This window comes from Homo sapiens, chromosome 3 (genome assembly GCF_000001405.40).
Source record: "Homo sapiens chromosome 3, GRCh38.p14 Primary Assembly".
Classification (NCBI taxonomy): domain Eukaryota; kingdom Metazoa; phylum Chordata; class Mammalia; order Primates; family Hominidae; genus Homo; species Homo sapiens.
The window spans coordinates 42,392,001-42,411,850 of NC_000003.12; the positions used below are offsets into that span (position 1 = coordinate 42,392,001).

Genomic DNA, 19,850 nt, shown 5'->3' on the forward strand with positions numbered 1-19,850 from the left:
TGGGACTACAGTGCACACCACCACACCCAACTAACTTTTTGTATTTTTTTTTGTAGAGACAGGGTTTCGCCATGTTGCCCAGGCTGGTCTTGAACTCTTGGCCTCAAGTGATTGGCTTGCCTTGGCCTCCCAAAGTGTTGGCATTACAGGCATGAGCCACTGCACCTGGCCTATCAGTGAGACAAGGCAAGGGAAATTGAGATCCAGGAACCAAGTGGAGAGGCCTGCCTTAGCTGGGAGCACCCGCAGTTCATAACCACATGGGGAATGGCAGAGTGTGGGGGTAGACAGATGTGGGGATGGGGCTGCAGATGGTCTTATCTGATGGCTTCTATTTCCTCAGTGAACTAGGAAGCAGCAGCAGCAGCTAAAGGTGAATGAAGAAGGAGGTGTGGGAGAGTTAAAGAGAGAGGAGAAAGCATGAAACAGTCATCTAAGAGGTCAGAAATGTAAAGGTGCACTTGATAATGGTTTTTAAGAATTTAAAGTGACACTAGTCAACAGGATTTTGTGGGATTTTTTCTTCTTTAAATATGTACAGCTACTTGGGTGCAAACACAAAATAGGTAAAGTTGGTTGTAACCAGGATTGGGCAGCCAGGTGAGTATGTCGGAGGGAAGAGCACAGGGGATGAGGGTGCATGCATGACATCATTATGATGGTGGCTGTGGAATCTAAGCCAGGGCAGGAGAGAAGTGAGGACATGAGGTGAGAGACAGTGTGAGGGTGATAGGACCAATCCTTAGAGATTCCAGTGGAGCCAAAGAATTATTGGCATCAGAGAGCTGCTTGAGGGATGCAATGGAAAGATATGAGGTGGCGTTCAAAGAGTGGGGTCTTAGAATTGAGATTTTTAAGGTGGTGGAGTTACTAGTAATGGCAAGGCTGATAGGCTGAAGTGAAGTGGAGGACAAGATCTTTCCAGGTGATGAACTCAAGGAACCAAGATGCCAGGGTGCTGGTGACTTGCCTAAATAAATACTGAAGCCACCAAGAATGATGACTCCAGTAGTGGTGGAAAAATAGTGAGCCAAAAGCCAAAATCTTCAGTGAATGAGGGGCAGGAACAGGAGAATGCAGGAGGAACACTTGCTTCAAAGGAGCTAGAGCACTTCAGGGAGGAAGGAGGAAGCAGCAATGGGGAGCAGAGGCTGCCTGGCTCACCTTTAGCTCAGAAGTGTGCAGGGTTTGAAATACAAAGCAAAACCAGCCACAACTTAGGGACAATCGTGGAAAGCAGTGTCCTGAGTGTGCATGAGATGCAATCTTCTTACTCCAGTAAGGGACTTGGACAGGCTATGCTGCAGGATACACATGGCACCAGACGTGTGCGCGTGCACACACACACACACACACACACACACAACCAGGCCCTCCTGGTGGCAGATCTGTAGCAGCGTTTTTACTCATAAAGTCAGCATGGTGCTGGGAAGCAGGCGAAGGGCCCAGAAATCAGAAGACCCCCATGGCCTCACTGCTGCCCGCTCAACATCACCACTGTGTAGCTAGCGCAGCCAGGGTCACTCACTTTGTTGCGGTAGGAAAAATGAGGCTCAAGGAATTAACTGGCTCAATGATAAGTGGCAGAGCCAGGAACGATCCCTGTGACTTCCGACATTTTCCAACCCTGTACTCTTTGCACTAGCCGGTTTCTTCCAAGTTTCCCCAAGATCAGAGTTATCTGGAGAAGCTTTGAAAACACAGATTCCCTGGACCACATCTCTGGAAATATGGATTCAGTAGGTCAGACACATGGCCCAGGAATCAGCATTTTAACAGTCGCCCCAGGTGATTTTTGTTTGTTTTTTTGAGACAGAGTCTTGCTCTGTCGCTCAGGCTGGAGCGCAGTGGCGTGATCTCGGCTCACTGCAACCTCCACCTCCTGAGTTCAAGTGATTCTCATGCTTCAGCCTCACGGGCAGCTGGGACTATAGGCATCCACCACCATACCCAGCTAATTTTTTGTATTTTTAGTAGAGATGGGGTTTGGCCATGTTGGCCAGGCTGGTCTCGAACTCCTGGCCCCAGGTGATCCGCTCACCTCGGCCTCCCAGAGTGCTGGGATTACAGGCATGAGCCACCGTGCCCGGCCTGCCCCAAGTGATTTTTACTATGACAGAAGCTTAGAAATGCTGTAGATTTCCACACTGTCTTCTCGATTTATTTTGTGCAGTTGAGAAAATTCACTCAATTTCCCAGCCTGTGAACTGGGCACCAACACGATGACCATTGTCCTGCACTAGTTGCCTAATACCTCTTAAGTGCAGCATCTTAATTAAAAAACTAGAGACCCAATTTTCCAGCTAATGGAGTAGAAAATTAATACCAATATAGTACCAGGGTTTGGAAGGGAGCTCTGTGTGGGGATATAGGTTTTGAGGAGATACCAATCCCAACTTCATCACTTACCAAACTGGAGTAAAGCCACATTATTTAGCCCTAAGCCTCAATTTCACCATCTGTAATATGGGTATATTTCATAAGTACCTTAGGAGGTTTTGCAAGGCTTGGAAATATCGTGTAAAGGTCTGTGTAATATTTATATGGTTGGAGTTAATATGATAGCTGCTGGTAACAGAAGTAATAATAATAGGAGTTGTTGTTATTGAGATTTCCTAATCCAGCTTGGATCATTCTGTAAACCAGACAAGGAGATCTGCCCCCAGAATGAGTGCTCACTGGAACACCCATTATCAGTGGGCTTGGGCAACCCGAGAGAGGCTGTTCCAATCAATACACTAACATTTGCTTTGTCCTCATGCCTCACGCCCATGTTGACACAAGTGCCCATTAGAGGATGGTGAGCCGCAGCAGAAGCAATGGGCTGGAAAGAGGCGGCAGCGCGCTGGATTTGGCACTCGAGGAGATAGTGTTTTCATCAATTGCAGGTTATTAATTCTGGGTTAAGATTGGATTGAGGTCGTGTGCATTATCGTTCTTGGACCTACCCTCGGAAGCAATGTGGGGTTCCCAGCTCAATAAAAAAGTTGATCAAAGCTTCACATTGATCTCAACTGCAAGTGCCACTGCCAGTAATTTTACTGTATGATTCATGCTGTGTGGTTGGGGAATATAGAATACCCTCTTCTCTAGAGAGGAGGGAAAGCCACACAAAACTGTTTGATTAAGCTCAACAGTCGTTACTGAACTTGAGTAAAAGTTCTGTCTCTGAAATTCTAACTTACAGCCATTTCTTCCTTCTGAAAGTAACCAAGGTTAAGACAAAAAGAAAGGCTGAATTGATTTGGATCTTGCCTGCCTTTCACGTAGCCACTTTTTACCTAATTTCTTCAATTTTTTTCTAAATTACAAAGAGTAACAATAAAGAGTTATATACATCATAGTTTGTCTATATAATGGAAAGCTGTGCCGTTGTTAAAAATGGTGCTAGGATCCCTGCTGTAGACCTGGAAATATTAGATCACAAAATATTGAGTGAAAAAAGGAAGATACAAAACTGTATGTTTAGTAGTAGTCCATGTCTGTAAGGGGAAAAATGTGCACACACACGAAAGCAGGGAAGATATACACACGAAAAGTTTCTTTTCCTAAGTCAGGATTGCCCACTTTAGCAACATGACAATGATGAAAACTTCTGTTTCCAGTGAGGGGATATTCTTAATTTCCTTTTTTATGACTACTTATGCTACCCAGGTTTTCTTCATTAAATATATGTTGTTGGGGTAATTTTTAAAATGTGAGAAATAAAAAGGGGCAGCCCCAAACAGGGACTTCAGCACTCTTTGTAATGGTTTTTAAAATGGCAATACCTAAAGATCTAACATGGCCAAGATCGGTGGCTCACACCCCTAACATTTTGGGAGGCGAGGCGGGTGGATCACTTGAGGTCAGGAGTTCAAGACCATCCTGGCCAACATGGTGAAACCCCGTCTTTACTAAAAATACAAAAATTAGCCAGGTGTTGTTGGTGCGTGCCTGCAATCCCAGCTACTCGGGAGGCTGAGTCAGAAGAATCGCTTGAACCTGCGGGGTGGAGGCTGCAGTGAGCCGAGATCGCGCCATTGCACTCCAGCAATGGGTGACAGAGCAAGACTCTGTCTCAAAAAAAAGAAAAGAAAAAAAGAAAACATCTAAGAGTAGAGCAAAAGTTAAATAAAATATGGTGTGTCATATACTGAAATACTCACTGGCACTAAAATTTCACTTTGAAGAACTACAACACCATGGTGAAGCACATGTGACTGACAGGCTTTCTCCATACTACTCTAGTTCTTTTCTTCCTGTATGAGGACTGAAAGGTGAAGAACTATGTTCTCCAACCCCCATGATGGTGTGGGTCCCATAGGTGACCTGACCTGCTGAGCAGATACCTGTGCTCTTGCTGCTGCTGCTACCAGATCTCAGGCAGGTGTGTCCAGGAAGCCCAGGCTGACAGCTGTACTCCATCCCATGAAATAAGCTGTAAGCCACTAAGCTTTTAAAATAAGCCCCTTGCTACTTAAAGTTGAAACAGATGTAGGGGAAAAGTGTCTTACCTTATTTGTTTGTTTTCTTTCTAAAAAGTCAGATGCAAAACTCTCTAACTACAACATTATCATGGCATTTTTGAAAAAGAATAAAAAACCTATACAGAAAAAAGATCAGCAGGAAATGCAACCAAAACATAACAGCAATTGTCTTTGAGTACTGAGATTATAGGAAAATTTTTCTCCTTTTTAACATTTCTGTATTTTCCCAAATTTCTCTAATGCAAATATGTGTTATTTATAACTTTCAGAGACTTTTTATAAGAAATGAGCAACTGTCATTTGATTCCCTTCATAGACGTGCAAAGAGGATTCTGTGGTCTCTCCCTTCCCCGTGTGTCCCAGTGTGGACACGCCTTGGCTGAAGGCCCTGCTTGTGCCAGCCTCTCTTCCTCTCTTCTTTCCTCTTTGGTTCCACTGTACCTGTTCTTCCTTTTCCTGTTTAGTATTGACATTCATGGACACATCTTGTTTTTCAGATAATTTCCTTCCTTCAATTCCTCCATATGAGATTAAATAATAATAAATCACAATAATAGTAAATAATGGTGATTACAGAAATAATCATAATCAAAGCAGAGACCTTTGGCCCAAGTTGAGTAACTAGTTTGGTTTATTCTGCATCCTGCATCCCCGGATGAAGCAAACTTTTGTCTTTTTCCATCTGGAACTCTTAAAGTGGTGAGATCATCAAAAGGATTGACTGAAGCAGCAAGCAGAAAAGCACCTTCATTCACAAGATGCAACTGGTGAGTGCTGCAGGGGCCATGCAGGTGGCTACAGCTTGCAACCATCCAGCCACCGTGCCAGGGTATCGGAGTACTGGCAGTACCGGGACCAGGTGGGCCTGTGGAGAGAAGTGAACAGGAAGGGCTCCTCAAAGTCAGAACTCAGGGTCTCCAGGGCTTCACAGCCCCATTCAGGCCATTTACACCTGCCTGCCCCTTGGAGCCTTTGAGTTTTCCACCTCTGCCGTGGGCACGATTCTGAAGGCTTTTGTGCATCTCCAGTGCTGTCTTCATCACATCCTGGCTTGAATACTGGTGCTTCCTCCATCCTAGTGCCCACATCAGCCCCCAACTCATTCCATAAACCCCACATGGTGAGATGAGGAGGCTGAACTGTGAACTGTGAAATTCTCCCCCAACCCTGCAACGGAGGTATCATTTGCTTCTCTGAAGTAAGCTTCAGAGAAGTTCCGTGACTTTCCCAGAGTCACATGATGAGTCTTTGGCAGACCCTAGGCCTGCAAATAGAACCTTTGTCCCCTGGGCCAGGGCCCCTTTCACCTTTCCACGTACCTGCTCCGCTCTTCACCTTCCAAAATTCCTTCCAACTCTTTAGCCCCACCTAAGTCAGCTGCACTGAGTTTCTCTAACCTTTTCTCCTGGTGCCTGTCAAAGTGATTCCCTTGTTCTGGGTCCCCATGCCAGCACCCAGACTTCAGGTTCTCCAGTCCCTACCTGCAGGGTGGGGAGTCACTCAGGCCAGCTGTACGCCATTAGAAATCCTGTTTCGTCATCCCACCCCTCAGCGGGCCGGTTTCCACGGGTCTTCCAGGATAGGAGGTCCCACAGTGCAAGACAGGGCTGTGGACCTCTGGCCCCTCATAGTTACAGAGTGGCAGGGAAACATACACACAGGTATTTTCAGAAATCCCAAGGCTCTCCATAGCTCAGGGCAGACATTGCAGAAGGGACTCCTTGGGGCCATGTGTGATCTTAGTCTTCTCCCTTCCTGTCTGCCCCAACCCTGCAGAGCTGACCAACCGAGCTTTGGAGAACACGTGGCTGCCTGTTAGCTTAATTAGCTTCCTTCACTGGGAACCTCAGCAATAAGAAGGCCTTGATCTGCCTGGCTTAGCATAGCTCCACTCAGTGCCATACACTAAATATGGTTTTAGTTCATTAGGGCTTACTCTAAAGAATCAGCCAAGCTTCCACATTAACTGGAAACTCGGACCATATATGAAAGGTATTTCAAACACTCCAAAGTCAGTTAACATTAATAAGGGGACTTTCACTTTAAAATTACAATCTATTAAATTAGTGATGAAAATGGGTTACTGAATAAATAGTATTGAAATCAATGACTAGCCATTTAAAAAATATAAACCTGAGTCCCTACACCTCACTTTTTATACCAAAATAAATTCCAAGAAGGCCAAAATTTTAAGCATTAAAAACATAAAATCATATTCTATTTTTAACTTATTTAACAAAAATTTAATATAGGGCTTAATTTGTGTGTGTGCCAGCACTGTTGTAATACATGGCTTACAATTTTGGCGTACAAAAGACCTTTCTAAGAAAGAGATTTCACATAAATCTAGAAGCCACAAAAGAAAAAAACCAAGGGATTTGATTCTGTGAATCTGTGAAACTCTCGTAGGATAAAAATACCATAAAATCAAAATACAAATAACAAACCTGAAAAAATAGTTTATGCAAATAAAATGAATAAAGGTCTAATAAGCCTAATTTATAAAGGACACATAAAAGGTCAACATGAAGAAAAAAACCATTATCAACCCAATAGAAAAATGGACTAAGAATATAAGTAAACAGTTCACAGAAAAATAGCCAATAAACACATGAAAACATGTTCAACTTCCTTTGTAATTTCAACATGCAAAGCAAAACAGAATGACATCACTTTACACATCTCAATTTTCTAAAACCATACAGGTTTTTAACACCTCAGGCTGGTGAGCTGAGGAGAAACAGGCCCCTTCATGCAGTGTGGGTGGAGGGGCCCCTTCTCCCAGTGGCAGTTTAGCAACTGGTCTCTCCAACGTTTAAATGCACCAAATGGTCTCAATAAATCCCCTTCAAGGGATTTCTCTAAGGATACAATTGAAAGAACATAAAAGTTCTAAAAGCAAGATGCTCATGATAGAATTTTGAAACAGCAACAGCAGCAACAAAAATGGAACGAACTAAATTTTCTTCATTAGAGAACTGGCAGATAAATTACCTGCAACATCTATACAGTGGGGTACTAGCAGCTGTTACAGCGATGGCAGAGACCTTTAAGTAGTGATAATGCCAAGATTCATGAGCTCTATTAATAGCTGAAAAAAAGCAAGGTGCAGCTCAGTGTGGACACTGGGATTCCATGTGTGTTTTAAAATATCTGTGGGTACATTTTTCTCTGATTTCTAAGAATATTAACACTGGTGCCCTTGAGGAGGCTGCTGATAAGAGGGAAATGGTTTATTTTTCATTTTTAAAGATAATAAATGGTAAATTTAAAAGTAAAAATGTTATGAATGACTTCAGGTTAGTGGCCCCAAATGCAGCCTCAGTTTTTCAACGAGCACATAGGGGGTTTCCATTATGTGCCAGGTGCAGAGCTAGAGGCTGGAGATATAGAAGCAGGAAAAACAATCTCTGATTGAATTTTTTAGGTTGGTGTGAAAGTCATCACAGTTTTTGCCATTAAGAGTAATGGCAAAAACCACCATTACTCTTAATGGCAAAAACCACGATGACTTTTGCAACAACCTAATAGTTCCAAAATACCTTGAAGACACAGAAAACAAAACAAAACAAAACAAAAAAAGCAACAACAAAAAGGCTCAGCCTCTGAGACAGACATAACCTTCTGGATCAGATTCTGGACAAAGTCTCTGCTGCCTTCAGGGCACATGATTTATAGTAAGGAACACCACCTACGCTTCCACTAGTGAAATTTGTCCACCTGCAGGCCTGTCCTTTCTCCCCCACCACCCTACACTGACTCTGCTCAGAAACCTTGAGTTTGGACTCACTGGAGTACTGGATAACTGTCCTTTGGTTGCCTTCTACATAACCACAGCACAGGTCTTCTGTGTCACCCATCCCCATCTCTTTGAGTATAACCTGGTGACCTGAGGCTTGGAATAGCACAGATCCAGGATTGATCATATTGCTGTGGCCACGAGTAGGTTATTCTACTTCTCTATGCCTTGGTTTTCTCATTTTGAAAATGAAGATAAGAATGCTCATAGCAGAGGGATTTGTGAGGATTCAATCATGATGTGCATATAAATGCAATCAGTTAAGAAATTGCAGCTATTATTATAGGATTTCCTCTATTGTAAGATATCTTCTATTCTAAGATTCATCAATGATTTAATAACAGCTTTGGGGGCATAATACATTGGTTACAAAATAAAGCCTAGTTTCAGAAATACTAAGATCTGAAAAATTGTGCCATCTGGGACTTAGGAAATATGACACTCTTTCTAGATCTATCTGGAGATTACAATGTCCAGAATCAACCAGGCAGGTAATTATAAAATGTGGGACGGGGGGAGAAAAGGTAGGGGAAGAAGGAAGTTTGTGGTGGTGCAGAGTTCACTGGGTAGTGTAGGCCTGCCATCATAAACAGCGTGGATGGAGATGGTAGCAGTGTAAGCTGGAAATGGAGGATTTTCATGCACTCCATTGGTTCAGCATATCAGAAAGACACTCACACCAGCAAAATCTACAAACTGGAAACTAGGCCAAGAGATGTGCACACCAATCTACCCCCAAGTAGACGTCAGAGAAAAGGGTCTGGCCATAATCCAAGTAACAGTGAACAGAGACAAGAAAAAGCCACACAACCTGTCCATTTAGCAAATACTGAATATGGGTAACTCTGTCCTTATTCAAGGAAGGGTAAAGAGGATAAAGCTAACACGGGACCTATGCGGAAATATCACAAAAAGAAAAGGGGGCATCATAATAAAATTTCTTTATTAATATTTTTTTTTGAGACAGAGTCTCGCTCTGTTGCCCAGGCTGGAGTACAGTCACACAATCTTAGCTCACTGGAACCTCCACCTCCCAGGTTCAAGCGATTCTCCTACATCAGCCTCCCGAGTGGCTGGGATTACAGACACATGCCACCACGCCCGGCTAATTTTTGCATTTTTTTTTTAGTAGAGATGGGGTTTCGCCATGTTGGCTAGGCTGGTCTTGAACTCCTGACCTCAGGTGATGCACCCACCTCAGCCTCCCAAAGTGCTGGGGATTATAGGCATGAGCCACCGCTCCCAGCACATCATAATAAAATTTATTATGAAAATAACATACTGCAGGATCCAGAAGTAAATTTTATAAAACTGACATCCTCAATAAGATGTCACCAGATATGACCTTTGGAAAAGTCATGGGAGTTAAGAGAGATTAAAAAAAGACAATAGTTTGAATTTTTAAGTCAGGTGGATAAGCTAACACAGAATTGCAAAAAAATAAAGGTAACCAAAATTCAACACCCATTCATGATTTAAAAAAAAACTTTAACAAACTAGAGATGGAAAGGAACACAATCTGATTAAGAGTATCTCCAGAAATTTAAAACATCAGATGTAATGACACAATATTAAACTTCTTTACCTATGAGACTAGAAATGAGACAAGGCTGCCACTATTGTCACTTCTATTCAACCTTCACTGGAGATCCTAGCCAATGCAACAGGGAAAGAAAAAGAAAGAAAGGATATTGCAGAGCCAAATGTGAAAGATAAAACAATAAAGCTTTTAGGAAAAAAAGGAGAATATCCTCAAGACCAAGGAATAGGCAGATATTTGTTAAAATAACCATAAAGGGAAAGCAATAATAAATTAGACTACATTGTGACTAAGAACTTCTGTTTATCAAGACACTCTTGAGAAGGTTAAAAAAAAAAAAAAAAAAAAAGAGCCAGGCATGGTGACATGTGCCTGTTGTCCTCACTACTCGGGAGGCTGAGGCAGGAGGATCACTTGAGCCCAGGAGTTCCAGGCTACAGTGAGCTATGATAATGCCACTGCACTCTAGCCAGGGTGACAGAGCAAGGCCCCATTTCTTTTCTTTTCTTTCTTTTTTTTTTTTTGAGATGTCTCTTATAAAAAAAAGATAGAAAGGTAACTCACAGAATGAAAGATAGTTGCAATACATATATCCAACAAAAAAACTTTATCCAGAATATATAAATATCTCCTACAAATTAATAAGAAAAAGACAGCACAATAGAAAAATTGACAAAAGATTTGAAGAGGCACTTCACCAAAGGGGATACATAAATGGCCAATAAACATTTGAAACCTCATCAGGGAAATGCAGAGTAAAACCATAATGCAATACCACAACACAGTCATGAGAATAAACTGGAAATTACCAAGCGTGGTTGAGAATGTGAAGCAACTGAAATGCATAATTTCTGATGGCAGTGTACATTGATAAAAATCTCTTTAGAAAACTGTTTGACACAATATGCCAAATCTGAAAATATGCTTATCCTATGACTAGCAATTTTATTCCTCAGTAAAAACAACAGAAATCCTTTTACATATTCACCAAAAGTTAAGTATAGACTGTCCATGGCAGCACTAAAAATGAAGAAACTACCAAATGCCCACAAATAGAGGAATGCATAAGTAACCTGCGGTGAATCCACACAATGGAATACTGTATAGCAATGAGAATGAATCACAACCACACACAAAAACATAAGCAAATGCAACACTCAGTGAAAGAAGTCAGACATAGGCCAACCACTTGTAAATTTTAGACTCTTCTAAGCAAATATCTGGCTAAAGAGGAAACTAGATTTGCATTTATTTTGGCAATAAATATACAAAAATCAGTTAATGTACCAAATACACAAAGAGCTCTTTCAAATAATATAACTTGAATTTTAAAATAGGCAAAGAGCAAAGAAGAAAAAAATTACAAAACAATAGTAATATATAACAAACATGGGGGGAAACACCCGAATGGGATATGATAAAAGACAAAAGAAGATAAGACAAAATTATTATCCACCTTTTTTTTTTTTGAGATGGAGTCTCACTCTTTTGCCCAGGCTGGAATGCAATGGTGTGATCTTAGCTCACTACAACCTCTGCCTTGTGTGTTCAAGCGATTCTCCTGTCTCAGCCTCCCGAGTTGCTGGGACTACAGGCACACACCACCACACCCGACTTATTTTATTTTATTTATTTATTTATTTTTTTAGTAGAGACGAGGTTTTGCCATGTTGGTCAGACTGGTTTCGAACTCCTGACCTCAGGTGATCCAACTACCTCAGCCTCCCAAAGTGCTAGGATTACAGGTGTGAGCCACCATGCCCAGCCAGTTATTCACCTTTAAATCGCAAAAATGTTGTGATTGGTGAAGGTGCAGTAAATCTACATTTTACTAAACCTTTTGTAGAAATATAAACAAATATGGGCCTGCTGGATTTCACAACATGCATCAAGAACCTTAAACGTATTCAAAAACCTTGTAGGAACTTAAAGGATAGAAATAATCAGAGATTATCATAATAAACACAGATTTAGTTTGAAGATGTTCATCCTAGCTTTCTATATAACCCTAAACAAGATTTGGGGGAAAAAAAGTACAATTCAAGGCAATTTCTCTGATAATTATTTCCTTCCCTCTGTGGCCTTGAGGTTGTGGTTTTCTGCTACTTACCTTGGTGAGTCAGAGCCTTTTAGTTTTGGCACTGCACGTGCGCAACAGCCAAGATTTAGCCAAGATTCAGATTAGAGATCATGAGTGAAAGTCGTTAATACAGGCTACATAAAAATGTAAGACTTACCATGCTCCCATCCCTTCTTTTCCTTTTACAATGGTCTTGGCACATTTAATTGTCTTCTCTAAATTAGGATTCAGTAAAGCTGTGGGGAAAAGAAAATGGAAGATACCATGCTGCCATATGACAGTTAAGTTAGAGTGATGTCAGGGAAGGTACAGGGTACTCACATCAGAGAGTCTTCCAGTGAATTCCAAGAATAAATCTATCCTTAGATTTTTATTAGACAACCCTAAGGAGGTAGCAGGATGGAGTCATCTTTTTACCAGATCTATTGATTTTTTAACTTGTAATTCTTATAAAATTTTTTCCATTAAAATATATTGATTAGGCTACAGAGAATCAGCTGATGCCCAGGATCATGATCTGTTCTAACCCTTCACTTAACCTATCTGGATCCTTGTTCCCCTTTTAGCCTCTAGGGATTTTTCTTACTTTCTTGCCAACTCAGTCTGGGACTTTAAAAGAATTTTTGTTTTCTTTGTTTGCATTCTACCTAATGGGAGAGTTTTTCAGGATATATAGTCCACCATATTTTCATCACAATACACAGTACCACCTCTATTACAGACAGAAAATTGTATGTGTCTCCCATTGGATTCTGGAGAGATAGAGATATAGATAGATAGATGATAGGTAGATAGATTTATAGATAGATATCTATATTTATCTATGTTTATAGATATCTATCAATCTATATTTCTGCCTATGAAATATAAATTACAGGCCTACTGTATTTCTCTTTTTGCCTTGGCTACCAGGAAGCTCTGGATGACATTGAATGTACCATCATTTCAATTTAAATTAAATCAATTTAATTAATTTAAAAATGTTATTAACTTACACTTTTAATGTGTATGTCTCCCCAACTAGACTGTGATTGTTGTAATTCACTAAGGGCCCTGCCTGGCATTTTATATACATTATTCCATTTTATGTTCACAGAAACCGTAAGTGGTTGTTAATGTCCCCATTTGGAGGACCTCTAGAAGTGACTTACACAAGCTCATGTCGTTCTTTTTTTTTTGAGAGGGATTCTCGCTCTGTCTCCCAGGCTGGAGTACTGTGGCGCGATCTGGGCTCACTGCAAGCTCCGCCTCCCAGGTTCACGCCATTCTCCTGCCTCAGCCTCCCGAGTAGCTGGGACTATAGGCGCCTGCCACCACGCCCGTCTAATTTTTTGTATTTTTAGTAGAGACGGGGTTTCACCGTGTTAGCCAGGATGGTCCCGATCTCCTGACCTCGTGATCCGCCCATCTCGGCCTCCCAAAGTGCTGGGATTACAGGCGTGAGCCGCCGCGCCTGGCCGCTCATGTCATTCTTAATGGCAGCAGCTAGGATTCCCACCAGGTTCCCACAGAGTTCCTGTGCCTTTTCCTCCTATGTTGCAGTCCTGCCTCTCCTTGAATCAGACAACTTTCTTACTCCTCTCTGGAGCTAAAGGCCAATCATGGGGCCCAACACAGACAGGTACTCCCCAGGCCACATGAGAAGGCTGCAGGCCTTCACTCCAACCTCTCCACTCTGTCTCCTAAAGACCCAGCTCAGAAGCCACAGGCTCTGGAATGGTTCTCACCCATCAGCGTGGAAAGAGGTTTGCTCATTAGGGAGGATGCTGGGGTGCTTAGGCAGGAAGACCGCCTCAGATGTGAGGGAGACCTGGCCCAGCTATGTAGCCTCTTGGTTTAGCCCCAACTCAGGAGCCGCACTGCTTAGGTTTCCCTCCCAGCTCTACCACCCCACAGCTGTGTGGTCTTGGGCATATACTTACCCTCTCTGGGCCTCAGTTTCCCCATTCATAGAATGGGGATAACGGTACCCACCTCATGGGTATTTAATTAGATTGATTAGATGAATTAATTAGATGAATACTTATAAAGGGCTTAAAAGAGTAGCTGGCAGTTAACAAGCACAAGAATGGCAACTATATAAGGCCTGGCACTTAGTGGGTGCTCAATAAATGCTCACGCAGTTAGTGAATCCTGGCAACCACCTCCCCTTAATCACAGGTACTTGGGACCGCCTAAGAGCAGTGGGCAAGCTCCCCTTGGGATGCCCAGCTCCTGTCTCCTCCCAGTAACCAGTTCTGCCTTTCAAAGTGGCAGCAACTGCCCCCTTGAAAAAGGGAGAGGGGTCAGGAGCGGTGGCTCACGCCTGTAACCCTAGCACTTTGGGAGGCCGAGACGGGCAGATCACGAGGTCAGGAGATTGAGACCATCCTGGCTAACACAGTGAAACTCCGTCTCTACTAAAAATACAAAAAATTTAGCCAGGCATAGTGGCGGGCGCCTGTAGTCCCAGCTACTCGGGAGGCTGAGGCAGGAGAATGGCACGAAGCCAGGAGGTGGAGCTTGCCGTGAGCCGAGATCGCGCCACTGCACTCCAGCCTGGGCGACTCAGTGAGACTCCGTCTCAAAAAAAAAAAAAAAAAAAAAAAAAAAGAAAGAAAGAAAAAGGGAGAGGTGGCCGAGCGTGGGTGAAATCAGGCCAGCTGGTGCCCTCTGCTCCCGCCCTTCAGGCTCTGATGCCTGCAGCCTCCTCTCAACTCCCCAACACCTTCTCTGCCCATTTGGACAGGGGTCTCCATCACTCCATCCTAGGTTAGCCTGCCTGACTCCCCACAGCCTGATCTCACTGTACCCCCAGCAGTGCAATGCTCAGCCTCCCAGGGACCCACCCTGGATATGGCTCCTGCCACACCCTCTTCTTTGTAAAACTTTGTAAACTCTGGCCATTTGGAAGGCAGGCCTCTAACACAGCACCATAGCCTCCAGTGCCCCCGCACGGAATGGAAAGAGGGACTTACCGGAACATGACATATGGCAGCGGTTCCTGCCATGGTCGCCACACCAGTCACTGCCACGCATCTGAAAGAGGCCAAAGCCAGTGTAGCCCTCACGTGTGTTCTCGTAGATGGCCATGGGGTTGAACTTGCTCTCGAAGTAGGCCAGGCACACCCCTAAGATGGAACAGAAGGTGTGTGACTCTGAGGACAGCTGGAGTTGGGGATGCTTGGCCAGAGAAGGGAGGGCAAGGAGGTGAGAGGAGGGAGCACTAAGTGGGGCCTACTCACAGTTCTCAAGGCTATAGCCCTCAAAATAATCCAGGCCTCCATCGTGGAGTTTCTTAGCCACTGTGCAACGCCCCAAGATGTAAGCACCACTTGGAACCACCAGGTAGCCAAGGAGGGAGAGAACCACGGATGCCTTCATCTTCTCCAGGCTCCTGGCAGGTCAGGGCAACGGTGGCCAGATGAGTGGGTGGAGTCACAGGGACACTGGTTCTCTGAAGGGAAAGAAGGGCACTGTGGGGGTGGGGGTGGAGCACAGTTCAGTGTCATCAGAAAAATGGGAGTCTCACCTGGTAAGCCATGACACTTCTTCCCATCCTAATTCTCTGCTTCGTGTCACTGCAAATCTGGGACACCTGAAACTCTGCCCCTTCTCCTCCTCTTGACCTCCTATTTTCTAAGGAAATTGCACTCTTGAGGCCCCCTCCCAACCCCAATTCTTTCCATCCAGCAAAACCCATTGGCTCCTTCTGGGTTTGTATCTCACTCATTTCACTCTGACATTAGATACAGATGCTCAAGACCTTTCTTCCCTTTATTGTAAAAGTAGACTTTGGTGATTAAATACATCTTGGAAAACAGAAAAGAGAAATTAAAAAAAAAAAAAGCATCATGGCCCCACCACTGCAGCAGAACCACTACCGACCTGTTGAATTATGTCCATTACTGCCTCTTATGCGTCTTATTCCCAGTTGTGTCTTTGTCCTTTACACAGTCTTGTCCCCAGATTTTCTACAAACCAAACTCCCCTGAGTTTTTCCCTGCCGTCCACGCAATGAGACAAGCCCAGACCTGCCACATACTAGCCAGACAACAGACAAGTCATTTAGCTTTACAGTGCTTCTGCTTCCTTATCTTTAAAAGTGGGGTCACTTGGGAGGGGAGCGCACTCAGAGAATGGACTCTTGAGTTTAACCTTCTCCATTTCTTTTCCATTTTAAGTGGCTGCCACCATCTAAACCCACCACCTCCTCACAGCAAGCTGAGTCATAGCCCAGCCTTCTCATCTCCAACCCCCCGGGCCAACTCATGCAGGTGGTGTTTTCTACCATGACTGAGGAATGTCCCCAAAGCAGGTACAAAATATCACTTGGAGAACACTGCTAATCCCCTCTTCTTACCACAGCAAACCCACACTTGGCTTTCCAAGCCCTCCATGATCTGGCTTTACCCCATCCACCCTTTATCAGGACGAATCTATTAAGTAAACTCAGAATTCTCATGGCACTCCCTCTCTGGATGCCTCTGCACCTCCCCACTCCATTCTCCAGGGAGCTGTGCCCTCATGCATGGTTCTTCCCAATGCACAGGGCCCTACCATGCCTTTCCCCATTCAAATGTTGCTGCATCTTGAGGCCTCACCCCGGGTGCCAACTTCTTGAATCCTGATGGATCCTCCATAAAAGTTCCATTTTCCCTCTGAGCCCCTATTGCTCTCAGAGTCTCTTCCATGACACACTGCAGATGATTGTCCTGTTTTGTGCTCTGTCCCATTCCTCAGACTAGAATGTGCAATTGGAAATTGGAACTCATCTTCCTCCTGGAATACCCCATAGCCCCTAGCACTCCATCGTTATATATCAATTGGACAATTCATTGCACCCTCCTGTTTGTCACCGTTCACAGGTGCATGTCTTCCTGGCTGTATACACCTACACCGGGGGTTCTCAACCTTGGCACTTGGGCTGGAATATGCTTAGTTCTGGGAACATCCTGTGCATTGGATTGTTTAGGAGTACACCTGGCCTCTAGATGCTAGTAGCTCTGCCTCCAAATTATGTCAGACAAAAATGTTCCTATGGGACAAAATTGCCCCCTGTTGAGAAATGTCTAACTTGGGCAAAAGTTAGAAATAAGTGTATTCATGAATTAGAAGAATCATACTTTCAAACGTTTGTTCAAACTCTCAAGCTGTATGATTAGTTGCAGACATGACCAGTACACCAAATACAGTATCTAGGAGGGCCTTGCATTTAAGAGCTCAGACTTGGGAATCAGATTGCCTGGGTCCAAGTTCCAGCTTTACCCCTCAGTGGCTGAGATATCAGTGATCCCAGCAGTAATCTTAGACAAATTGCTCAACCTCTTGATTCCTCAGTTTCCTCATCTGTAACACAGATTAAAACAGTACTTAATTAATTGTGTTGATTTGAAGAGTAAGTGAATTAAATATGCACAGCACTAGATTTTACTTGTATGGACATTTTTCTTAGCTCTGGTTGCACCCCTGCCCTTTTATACTGATGTATCAAACCTGTACATTGTGCACATGTACCCTGGAACTTAAATTATAATAATTAAAAAAAGTGAATCTCAATGCATGTTTCATTTCCCAACAGAGCAAACAACATTTTCTGGTAATGTCTGTCTTCCACAGGGCAGGCATCATCTCAACTCGTAGAAGGCATACTGAGTCCTCTCCTCCCCTCTCCCCCAGAAGCCAGTTCATCAGGTTCATCAGGGTGTGCCATCTACAGTTCTTCCAGAACCTATTCGCCTCTCATCTTTTCTGCCATCATCCTAATCCAGACCACCATCACCTCTAAGGTGGAGACTTTCTAACTACACTCCTCTACTACATACTCCTCTCTGTTCCCCTAAACCCACTGCCCACACAGCAGTTGGAAAGGCATTTTATAAAGCATGTGTCCAGTCACATCACTAATCTCCAGTGGATTCCCCTTGCACTTTGAATAAGGTCCCAACTCCTCAACCTGGCTGACAAGACTTTCTGATGCAGCCACTGAGCACCTCTCCAGTCTGAATTTACATCACTCTCTCCTTTGTTCACCTTCACTCTGCCATAGTCACCTTGCACATTTCTTTTCCTTGAATATGCCAATTTCATTCCCACCACAGGTCCTTTGCACCAGCCATTCCTTCTACCTGGAACATGACTGCCCTGACCACCACATACGAGCTCACTACCTCAAAGAAGATTCCTTGATCACTGCCCCATCAAAGAAGACGGTCTTTATTTTCTTCATACCATTAATCAATATCAGGAATTCCATTGCTCATTTATCTGTTCACTTGCTTATTTTCTCTCTCCCATACCTGAGTGTAAGCACCAGGAATGCAGAAACCTGGTCTGGTTTTTTCTCTTCATTATCCCCAGAACTCAGAACAGAACCTAATACAGAGTAGGTGCTCAATGAAACTTTGTTGAATGAATGAATGAACAAAAACCTCCTCTTCCCAACTGAACTGTCATCAAATAAGCAATAAGTGAATTTGCTGATGAGCTTCTCCTGCAGCTGGGTATTGTCATGCCCGTTACCCTCCTGCCCACCATATACCCGCCTACCAGTCCACCAGCCCTTCCAAAGGCTGGCTTTTGGTGCCTTTCCAAGGGGAGGGGAAGAACAGCCACTGCAGCAGCTTCGACGTGTGTTGCAGGGAAGTTGCTCCACCTACATTTGGTTCCTTGGGTTTTTCAGATGCTACTTCATTAATCATCCACTTGTCTGCACCCAAGAGTTCTCCATGACATGCTCTTCTAGAATCCTTTCTATGACATCAGTTGCTATGCACCAGGATATTCTGAAAAAGGGAGGGTCTGTCACTGTCACATTTGTATTAGTTTTCTATTGCTGCTGAAATACATTACCACAAATTTAGTGGCTTAAACAACACAATTTATTATCTTAAAGTTCTATAGCCCTGAAGTCAGAAATGGGTCTCACAGGCCTAAAATTAAGGTGTCAGCAGGGCTGTGCTCCTTCCCAAAGGCTTTAGAAGAGGATTCATTCCCTTGCTCATTGAGGTTGTTGGCAGAATAAAGTTTCTGCAGTCACAGGGCTGAGTTCCCTGTTTCCTTGCTGGCTGTCGGCTAAGGGCCATTCCCAGCTGCTAAGCACTGTCTGCATTTCTTAGCTCTGTTGCCTTCCTCTATCTTCAAAGCCAGCAAGGGTGAGTCAAACCCTCTCACACTTTGAATTTCTCTTGCCTCTTCTTCTGTCATTGTATCTTTCTGACCCTCTTTTCTTCCTCCCCTTCCCTGTCTAAGGACTCATGATTAGATTGGTCCAGCCGGACCATCCAGGATAACCTCTGCTTCTCAAAGTCTTTAACCTTAAACACATCTGCAAAGTCTCTTTTGCCATGCAAACTAACACATTCAGAGGTTCCAGGGGTGAGTGTTACCGAACAAAAGTGATTCAATGCATTGGAAGCCAACGCTATGACACTGGGTGTTTGAGAAAAGGCTTTTTATTGAAATATAAATATTTAATTTTAAATATATAATCAATATATTGTCGATTTTCAAGGAGACAGCAGTGTCAACCTCAAATCTGTCTCCTGTGATGCAGTATTTTTATTAGAAAAAGTTTAGGGGATTCTAAGATTAGTAGGTGATTTGGTGGAAGAAAGGGAAGGGCTGGAAAGTCCTGGGTCATATGCAGTTATCTCTTCATACTATTTTATGGGTCCCCTGGGCAATTATGGGGAAAGTTAGTATAAAGCACATGGTGGAAATTTAGTCTGTGACATCAGCAAGCTGGTTCTGCCTAGACTCTGGTCGGCCATCTTGGTTCCAGCTGATTTCAGCCAGTTCTTATATCTCATAAGCAGAGGGAGTTTCAGTATTTCAGCAAGTTGTTTCTTTTCTTACCTGCCATCCTGCAAACTCAAGAATTTCTGTTAGTCATTGGTTTTTTTAACTCTTTGGGGCATGGCTTCATTAGGACACCTTTGGGAGATCAGTATTCTGCCTGCTACAGCATTCTTCCGGGCCCTC

General features: G+C 43.5%; 1 protein-coding gene across 3 annotated transcripts in view; it reads right to left on the minus strand.

Moving 5' to 3' along the window:
* LYZL4 (lysozyme like 4) overlaps positions 1 to 18,610 on the minus strand; it is a 49,847-nt gene extending 31,237 nt beyond the window's left edge. Inside the window, exons 1-5 of one of the 3 annotated variants that reach the window (NM_001304386.2) lie at positions 18,417 to 18,610; positions 15,113 to 15,324; positions 14,846 to 14,998; positions 12,046 to 12,124; positions 5,083 to 5,334 (exon numbers count right to left, since the gene is read on the minus strand). In NM_001304386.2, the coding sequence (NP_001291315.1) occupies positions 5,265 to 5,334; positions 12,046 to 12,124; positions 14,846 to 14,998; positions 15,113 to 15,251 (441 nt within the window). In that variant the 5' untranslated portion in view covers positions 15,252 to 15,324; positions 18,417 to 18,610 and the 3' untranslated portion in view covers positions 5,083 to 5,264. Of the gene's footprint in view, positions 1 to 5,082; positions 5,335 to 12,045; positions 12,125 to 14,845; positions 14,999 to 15,112; positions 15,344 to 18,416 lie in introns of those variants that run through there. The other 2 variants (NM_144634.4, XM_011533355.4) reach the window with 2 other exon arrangements.
* Positions 18,611 to 19,850: the final 1,240 nt, after the last annotated feature.